This window comes from Homo sapiens, chromosome 7, assembly GCF_000001405.40.
Source record: "Homo sapiens chromosome 7, GRCh38.p14 Primary Assembly".
Taxonomy (NCBI): domain Eukaryota; kingdom Metazoa; phylum Chordata; class Mammalia; order Primates; family Hominidae; genus Homo; species Homo sapiens.
Window position 1 is genome coordinate 75835302 of NC_000007.14, and position 10175 is coordinate 75845476.

The following is a 10175-nucleotide window of genomic DNA, read 5'->3' on the forward strand; positions in this document are numbered from 1 at the left end:
CCAGGCTGTTCTCGAACTCCTGACCTCAGGCGATCCACCCGCCTTGGCCTCTCAAAGTGCTGGGATTACAGGCCTGAGCCACCATGCCCGGCTAATTTTGTATTTTTAGTAGAGACGGGGTTTCCCCATGTTGGTCAGGCTGGTCTCAAACTCTCGACCTCAGGTGATCTGCCTGCCTCGGCCTCCTAAAGTGCTGGGATTACAGGCCTGACCCACCGCGCCCTGCTCAGGAGTTATTTCTACAAGCAGAAGGATGACACCTAGTCTCAGGGCATGACAGGAAAAGCGGGTGGTTAGGGCTTCCTGCCCCCTTCTGTCCTGGAACTCCCTGTCTTCTGGGCCTCCCCAGCTGTGGACCAGCAGTGGTGCCGGCGTGGAGACGGGTGGGAAACTGCTGGTGTCCAATCTAGGTTTTGAAGTATCAGACACTGATATTTGGGAACTCTGCAGAATTTGGAACGCTGAAGAAGGCGGCTGTGCACTACGATGGCTCTGGCCGCAGCTTAGGATCAGCAGACATGCGCTTTGAGCGGAAGGCACACGCCCTGAAGGCCATGAAGCAGTACTACGGCACCCCTCTGGCTGGCCGCCCTGTGAACATTCAGCTTGTCACATCACAGATTGATACATAACAGACACCTGCACAGAGCGTAAACAGAGGTGGCATGACTAGAAACCGTGGCGCTGGAGGTTTTGGTGGTAACGGAGGCACCCGGGGAGGCACCCGGGGAGGCACCCGTGGAGGCGACCGGGGAAGAGGCAGAGGCGCCGGCAGGAATTCAAAGCAGCAGCTTTTCGGCAGAGGAGATGGACGCCTATAATGCCAGAATGGACACCAGTTAAGCAGACCAGCAAATCCGCGTGCGCAACAGGACCCAGGCGGCTCCTCTCGCTCCATGGTGGGGAGGCCGTGGCTGGGGCTGTGTGGCCAATGATGGATTTGTTTCTTTTGTGTTTTAAAGTAGGATTTAAAAACTCGTGTAAAGATGTTTTTTCTTTCTTTCTTTGTTTTTAAATTCTGAAACAGAAAAAAAAAATCCCACGTTCACGTGTTGAAAGTTTGAAATACCGGCCGGGCGCAGTGGCTCACGCCTGTAATCCCAGCACTTTGGGAGGCCGAGGCGGGCGGATCACAAGGTCAGGAGATCGAGATCATCCTGGCTAACACTGTGAAACCCCGTCTCTACTAAAAGTACAAAAAATTAGCCGGGCACGGTGGCGTGCACCTGTAGTCCCAGCTACTCTCGGGAGGCTGAGGCAGGACAATGGCGTGAACCCGGGAGGCAGAGCTTGCAGTGAGCCAAGATCGCGCCACTGCACTCCAGCCTGGGCGACAGAGCGAGACTCCATCCCAAAAAAAAAGACTGAAATACTGTTAAGATGACAATAGTCCCCAGATGACCTACAGATTTAACACAACCCCTAGCAAAATCTCATGTGGTTTCTTTGCAGAAACCAGTTCTTTGACAAGCTGACTCTAAAATTCATATGGAAATTCAAAGGACCCAGATTTCAAAACTTAATACAAAACTACAATAATCAAGACAGCTTGATCCTGGCATACGGATGGACATATAGATCAATGGAATAGAATTGACAGTCTAGAAATAAACCCTCACATTTACAGTCAATTGATTTTTGACAAGAGTGCCAAGGCCATTCAATGGAGAAAGAAGTATATTCAACAGGTGGTGCTAGAACAATTGAATATCCGCCCGCAAGAGAAAGAAGTGCAACTGCTACCACATACCATATACAAAAATTAACTTGGCTGGGCGCGCTGGCTCATGTCTGTAATCCTAGCACTTTGGAAGGCCGAGGTGGGAGGATTGCTTGAGGCTAAGAGTTCAAGACCAACCTGGCAAACATGGCGAGACTTCATCTATTAAAAAAAAAAAATTAACTCGGCCGGGCGCGGTGGCTCACGCCTGTAATCCCAGCACTTTGGGAGGCCAAGGCGGACGGATCACGAGGTCAGGAGATCGAGACCATCCTGGCTCACACGGTGAAACCCTGTCTCTACTAAAAATACAAAAAATTAGCCAGGCGTGGTGGCGGGTGCCTGTAGTCCCAGCTACTGGGGAGGCTGAGGCAGGCGAATGATGTGAACCCAGGAGGTGGAGCTTGCAGCGAGCCGAGATCACGCCACTGCAGTCCAGCCAGGGCAACAGAGCAAGACTACATCTCAAAAAAAAAAAACTCAGCATGGATCAAATACCTAAATGTAAGAGCCAAAACTATAAAATATAGGGAAGAAATATAGGGGTAAATTTGTTTCTCTGTTACCCAGGCTGGAGTGCCATGGCGTGACTGTAGTTCACTACAGCCCCCAACACCTGGGCTCAAGTGATCCTTCCACCTCAACCTCAGAAGTAGCTGAGACTACAGGTGTGCACCACCATGCCTGGCTAATTTTGTTTATTTTTTTATAGGAATGAGGTCTCACTATGTTGCCCAGACTTGTCTCAAACTCCTGGCCTCAAGTGATCCTTCTGCCTTGTGACACTTGAAATTTATTTCAAAATAATAAGGAGGCAATATGAAACATTAAAAAAAAAAATTGGGGCCAGGCAGGGTGGCTGCATGTGTAGTCTCAGCTACTGGGGAGGCTGAGATGGGAGAATCACTTGAGCCCAGGAGGTCGAGGCTGCAGTGAGCCATGATCTCGCCACTTCACTCTAGCCTGGGCAACAGAGCAAGATCCTGTCTCAAAAAAAAAAAAAAAGGAATCATAAGACTTTTGCTTAAGAATTGCTGGGCAGGCACAGTGGCTCACGCCTGTAATCCCAGCACTTTGGGAGGCCGAGGTGGGCAGATCACCTGAGGTCAGGAGTTCGAGACTAGCCTGGCCAACATGGGGAAACCCCGTCTCTACTAAAAAAAAAAACAAAAATTTGCTGGGCATGGTGGCATGTGCCTGTAATCCCAGCTACTGGGGAGGCTGAGGCATGAGAATCGCTTGAACTGGGGAGGCGGAGGTTGCAGTGAGTTGAGATCGTGCCATTGCACTCCAGCCTGGGCAACAAGAGCGAAACTCAGTCTCAAAAAAAAAAAAACAAAGAATTGCTTAAGATATTTTTCAGATCCTGAATTCCAGCAAAACAGCTGATGTCAACCAGTTTGAAGACCCCCGCAGGGGAAGAGAATGAGCATGAGAACCCAGCTTCTTCATCTCCCTGTCCCGTGACTTCACCCCGCACACTTCCGCCCATCAACCACCTCCACGCTTCAGCCCACTCCAAAACTCTGAAAAACCCTAACTCCAAATTCCTGGGGGAGATGAATTTGAGGTTTCCTCCATCTCCTCGTTTGGTGGCCTTATGAAGAAACCTCCTTCTCTACTGCAACCTGGTGTATCTGTGTATTGACTTGCCGTGAATATCAGACAAAGGACCTATCTGCAGGTACTCTACATTGTTGGTGGCGATGTAAAATGGTCCAGTACCGTGGAAAAGCAGTTCCTCTAAATGTAAACATAGAATCACTAGGCTGGGCACGGTGGCTCATGCCTGTAATCCTAGCACTTTGAGAGGCTGAGGTGGGTGGATCACTTGAGGTCAGGCGTTCAAGACCAGCCTGGCCAATATGGTGAAACCCCGTGTCTACCAAAAATACAAAAAAAAAAAAAAAAAAAAAAGTAGCTGAGCATGGTGGTGCATGCCTGTAATCCCAGTTACTGGGGAGGTTGAGGCAGGAGAACCGCTTGAACCTGGGAGGCAGAGGTTGCAGTGAGCTGAAATCGTGCCACTGCACTCCAGCCTGGGTGACAGAGCGAGAGTCTGTCTCAAAAAACAAACAAACCCAGAATCACTAGATGACCCAGTATATTAAGCATGTATCTTTATTTTCTGCATTTTGATTCTTTTTTGTTTTGTTTTGTTTTCGAGACAGAGTCTTGCTGTGTTGCCCAGGCTGGAGTGCAGTGGTGCGAGCTTGGCTCCCTGCAACCTCTGCCTCCTGGGTTCAGGCTATCCTCATGCCTCAGCCTCTCTTGTAGCTGGGACTACAGGCACGCAACATCATGCTCAGCTAATTTTTGTATTTTTAGTAGAGATGGGGTTTCACCATGTTGGCCAGGTTCCTTGACCTCCTTGAACTTGAACTCCTGACCGCAGGTGATCTGCCTGCCTTAGCCTCCCAAAGTGCTGGGATTATAGGCATGAGCCACCATGCCTGGCTCATGGAAGGCCTGTATTTTGATTCTATTTTTTGACATCTGGGGCCTTGCTGGTGCTAGAGGAGGAAACTGACCCTCCCAGGGTTAGCTAATACCGAGAGATACCAAACAACTCATAGTTAGGAGTTTTTTAGGGTTTTGGAGTAGGCTGAAGTGTGGAGGTGGTTGATGGCTGGGGGTATACCTTTTTGTTTTGTTCTGATTTTTTATATTTTAGACACAGAGTAGCCAGGCGCGGTGGCTCACGCCTGTAATCCCAGCACTTTGGGAGGCTGAGGTGGGTGGATCACGAGGTCAGGAGATCGAGACCATCCTGGCTAACATGGTGAAACCCCGTCTCTACTAAAAATACAAAAAAATTAGCAGGGTGTGGTGGCGGGTGCCTGTAGTCCCAGCTACTCAGGAGGCTGAGGCAGGAGAATGGCATGAACCCGGAAAGTGGAGCTTGCAGTGAGCCGAGATCGCGCCACTGCACTCCAGCCTGGGCAACAGAACAAGACTCCATCTCAAAAAAAAAAAAATAGACAGAGTCTCACTCTGTTGTCCAGGCTGCAGTGTGATGGTGCGATCAGAGCTCACTACAGCTTTGAACTCCCAGGCTCAAGTGATCCTTCTGCTTCAGTCTCCCAAGTAGCTGGGACTACAGGCCTGTAATACCATACCTGGCTATTTCAAACAGTTTTTATAGAGGCAGGGTCTTGCTATGTTGCCCAGGCTGGTCTCAAACTCCTGGCCTCAAAAGATCTTCCTGCCTCAGCTTCCTGAATACCTGGGACTACAGGTGCATGCACCACCTCAGTCACCTGTGATTGATTTTTAATAGAGATGGGGTCTTGCTATGTTGCCCAGACTGGTTTGAAACTCCTGAGCTCAAGCAATCCTCCCGCCTTGGCCTCCCAGAGTGTTGGGATTAAAGGTGTGAGCCACTGCCTCCGGCTTGTCTATTTGTTTTTAACAATCCTTTAAAAATACAAAAACAATCTTAACACTGTGGGCTGTACACTGTAGCCTACGAGTGGATTTGGTCTACAGGCTAGAGTTTTCCAATCCCTTAATCCAGATGCTTCCAGCTGAGTCTTGGAAGGGGCTGCAGTCAGAGGCCATAGGCACCAACCTGCCCACAGGATCTCTTCCAATATGATTCCTCCCCAACTCCCATCCTCAGTCATTGCAATAGGAGTCAATTTCTAGTGAAACTGTATTAGTCAAGGCTCTCAAACAGAGTGAATAGGATATACATACAGAGAGAGAAAAATAATCCTTTCATTATTTTAAAGCACTGGCTTAGGCTGGGCGCGGTGGCTCATGCTTGTAATCCCAGCACTTTGGGAGCCGAGGCAGGCAGATCACCTGAGGTCAGGAGTTCAAGACCAGCCTGGTCAACATGGAGAAACCCCGTCTCTACTAAAAATACAAAAAATTAGCTGGGTATAGTGGTGCATGCCTGTAGTCCCAGCTAGTCGGGAGGCTGAGGCAGGAGAATCACTTGAACCCGGGAGGTGGAGGTTGCAGTGAGCTGAGATCATGCCATTGCACTCCAGCCTGGGCAACAAGAGCGAAATTCCGTCTCAAAAAATAAATAAATAAGAATTGGTTTAGGCCAGGCGTGGTGGCTCATGCCAGCACTTTGGGAGGCCAAGGCAGGCGGATCGCCTGAGGTCAGGAGTTCAAGACCAGGCTGCCCAACATGGTGAAACCCCATCTCTACTAAAAATACAAAAATTAGCCAGGCATGGTGGTGGGCACCTGTAATCCCAGCTACTTGGGAGACTGAGGCAGGAGAATCACTTGAATCTGAGAGGCGGAGGTTTCAGTGAGCTGAGATCATGCCATTGCACTCCAGCCTGGGCGACAAAAGTGAGATTCTGTCTCAAGAGAAAAAGAAAAAGAACTGGCTTCTGTAATTGCAGAGGCTGGCAAGTTCAAAATGTGTAGGGCAAGCTGGCAGGCTGGAGATCCAGGGAAGAGGTGGTGTTGCAGCCTCGTGTCTAAATTCTTCAGGCAGGCCAAGCAGGCTGGAAACCCAGCCAGGGTTTCTATGTTGCAGTGGAATCGAGGCCCAATTCCTTCTTCTTCAGGAAACCTCACTCTTTGACCTTAAAGCCTTCAAGTGATTGGATGAGACCTACCTGCTTTGTGGAGGGTCATCGTCTTTATTCAAAGTCTGCTGATTTAAATGTTCATCACAGCCAGGCACGGTGGCTCACGTTTGTAATCCCAGCACTTTGGGAGGCCGAGGCAGGAGGATCGCTTTGAGTTCAGGAGTTTGAGACCAGCCTGGGCAATATAGCGAGACCCTGTCTCTACAAAAAAAATAAAATAAAGCCAGGCGTGGTGGTGTGAGCCTGTAGTCCCAGCTACTTGGGAGGCTTAAGTGGGAGGATCACTTGAGTCTGGAAGGTTGAGGCTGCAGTGAGCTATGATCGCACCACTGCACTCCAGCCTGGGCGACAGAGCAAGACTCTGTCTCTAAAATAAAAATTAAAAAAGTTAATCATGTCTGAAAATTACCTTCATAGTAGCACCTAGACTGGTGTTAGCATCTAAACTGATGTCTAGACAGGCACCTTAGCATAGCCAAATTGTCAGAAAATTAGCTACAACATAGATCTTTTGTCTGTGCCTCAAAATCCAGGTTTAGCAGCCCTGGGGAGAGAAAAAGCTTTTGTTTTGTCTTTGAGACCCACCTCCCCAAGCTTCTTTTTTTTTTTTTTTTTTTGACACTGAGTCTCAGTCTGTCACCTAGGCTGGAGTGCTATAGTACGATCTTGGCTCACTGCAACCTCTGCCTCCCGGGTTCAAGCGATTCTCGTGCCTCAGCCTCCCAAGTAGCTGGGACCACAGGTGTGTGCCACCACACCCGGCTAATTTTTTTTTGTAATTTTAGTAGAGAAAGGGTTTTGCCATGTTGGCCAGGCTGGCCTTGGACTCCTGACCTCAAGTGATCAGCAGACCTTGGTGTCCCAAAGTTCTGGGATTATAGGTATTAGCCACCGCGCCCAGCCTTTTCATTTTTTTTTTTTTTTCTGTCTCCGAAGACTGGCCTCTTTCCAGGATGACTTTCAGTGAAATTTCCACTCCTTTCAGGGGAAACACAACTCCCACCCACACTGATAACAGACATTTCCTTCTTGCTGCATCAGGATGATGAGAATTGAAGTCTGGTTTAACCCTGTCCTTAACCTTCCCTGGGGCCCTGGATGGGTAGTTCTGTAGCTCCCGGCCTCTTGCTGACCACTGGACCAAAATACACAGAAGAATCCTATACAAGGTAAGCATTTGACGGATACCTCTTAGGTGGCCTCAGCTTTAGGAAGCTTTATTGGATCCAAAAATAGCTTTATTTCCCCAGGCCAGCCTCCCCACATACCTTGCCTCCAGCTTAGTGTCACAGTGCCTGTATCTCTGTGCGAAGAGTGATATTGGGGTGTTTGCAGGCTGGACTCAGAGCTGAAAGTCTCCCTGCCAAGTAGTGAGCATTTCACTATTCACGGAGGTGCCCCAGGGGCCAGCAGAGAGATTTCCAGAACAGGAAACACCCCCGCAGAAGTGGAGATCAACAGTAACAACAATGTATATTTCTAAACAGAACAGTGACTCATATTAAACATCTGTTTCACAATAGGGCCTTATATGCAAAACAACCCTAAGTATAGAAGGAGCCAAGAAACCAAAGAATGAGGCAGACAAATCCAGTTTGTCATCACGGGGTGTTTCACTGGGGGAACTATGGACAGAAGCATCGTCTTGGATGGCCACAAGGCAGGTAGATCTCCATGCTGTTACATCCCAGACTCAGGAACTATATACCATAAGGAAAGAATGCACATGCTCCAGAAGGAATGTGTAGGAATTTGCTTAAGGGCAGGATTTACAGTAAGTAGGAGTTCATCAAGGTTGATTTGATCCAAGTGTTACCAGAAAGGGGTCCCGATCCAGACCCCAACAGAGGGTTCTTGGATCTCGCGCCAGAAAGAATTCAGGGCAAGTTCATAAAGTAAAAGCAAGTTTATTAGGAAAGTAACGTGGTGAAGGACACAGCTACTCCACAGACAGGTTAGGAAGAGGAGGAATGTGTCCACCCTGGAGACAATACTTGTTTATATATAGCATAAGAAAAGATTATGGGGAGATGTGTTCTGCTACAAGGGTTTGTGATAAAGGATTAATTTTCTTACTGTATTTCGCAAGAATCGAAATTATCGTAGGAACGCTTCTGTTGTCAAGATATCGGGATATCAGGACACTCCTAAGTCTGGGTCTGTTTAGTAAACATTGTCAATCTGTTCCCTTAACTGTAAACATCTGGAGGCTAGGAATACCTCACTTTCTGGGAGTGCGGCCCAGCAAGCCCCAGCCTCATTTTTCTTAGCCCTCACTCAAGATGGAGTCACTCTGGTTCTAACGCCTCTGGCATAAGGGCAGGATTAATGGTAAGTATGCGCTTTTATATAAGGAATGATAGATAAACTGGAAATCTTAGAGGCATTCTTGGAACCAGGGTTAATCAGAAGCCTAGCTTCCAAGATGGAGTTATTTCAGCCTCCACAACATCTCTTCAGATAGATGGGACTTCACAGATTTCCCCAAGAATCACGGATAGAATTGGTTTGACAAGTGTGTGATTACATAGACCACTTTATGGCTCCCATAGAGGCTGGCATGATGGTTTACGCCTACAACCCCAGCACTTTGGGAGGCTGAGGCAGGAGGATTGATTGAACCCAGGAGTTCGAGACCAGCCTGGGCAACATAGGAGACCCTGTCTTTATTTTGTTTGTTTGTTTGTTTTGTGTTTTTTGAGACAATCTCACTCTCACTGCCAGACTGGAGTGCAGTGGCACAATCAGCTCATTGCAGCCTCGACCTCCTGGTCTCAAGCAATCGTCCTACCTCAGCCTCCTGAGTGGTGGGGACTACAGGTGCTTATCACCACACATGGCTAATTTAAAAAAAGAAAATTTGGAGCTGGGTTTGGTGGCTCACTCCCGTAATCCCAATACTTTGGGAGGCAGGCTAAGGCAGGTGGATCACCTGAGGTCGGAAGTTCAAGACCAGCCTGGCCAACATGGTGAAACCCCATCTCTACTGAAAATACAAAAATTAGCTGGGCATGGTGCTGTGCACCTGTAATCCCAGCTTCTCAGAAAGCTGAGGCAGGAGAATCACTTGAACCCGGAAGGTGGAGGTCGCAGTGAGCCGAGATCATGCCATTGCACTCCAGCCTCAGTGACAGAGTGAGACTCTGTATCAAAAAAAAAAAACAGAAAAAAAAAACTGTAGACAGGGTTTTACCATGTTGCCCAAGCTGCTCTCAAAGTCTTGAGCTCAAGCAATTCACCCGTCTCAGCTTCCCAAAGTGCTGGGATTACAAGTATGTGCCACTGTGCCTGACCTAAACAAAAGTTTATATATATGTATATATACACACACACATATATATGTGTGTGTATATATATGTATGTGTGTGTCTATATATATATATATATATGTATGTATGTATCTCAAAGAAATATATTTGTGGGTAAAATACTTTGATTTCTTTCAGGGCCTGCTATCTGTCATGCTGGTATCTCATTGCTAAAGAGTGTGTTTTGTCCATCTTAAGGTTTCTCTTTTCATGTTCATGCTTGTTGGCTATACCTGAATTTCAAAGGGAGGTGGGTATAATGAGGCATGTCCAAACACCCCTTCCCATGATGGCCTGTACTAGTGTTTCAGGTTAACTTTGGAATGCCCTTGGCTGAAAGAGGAGTCCATTCTGTTGATGGGGGTGCTTAGAATTTTATTTTTGGTTTGCACAGGAACTATTCACACTTGACAGCTCTTCAGATATTTTCAAACATGTTAGTCCCTGACTTTGGTTTTTTTTGTTCGTTTGGTTTGTTTGTTTTTTTGAGACAGAGTTTTGCTCTTGTTGCCCAGGCTAGAGTGTAGTGGCGTGATCTTGGCTCACTACAACCTCCGCCTCCCAGGCTCAAGCGATTCTCCTGCCTCA

General features: G+C 47.8%; 1 pseudogene, besides 1 other annotated feature; it reads left to right on the top strand.

Annotated features, from left to right (window-relative positions):
• Positions 360 to 1028, top strand: LOC100129130 (THO complex 4 pseudogene; annotated as a pseudogene).
• Positions 7632 to 7851: an enhancer, noted in NCBI's record as "active region_26182". NCBI's record gives its function as "activates an Ori minimal core promoter by ATAC-STARR-seq in GM12878 lymphoblastoid cells {active_cell/tissue: GM12878}" and the evidence as "EXISTENCE:reporter gene assay evidence [ECO:0000049][PMID:35858748]".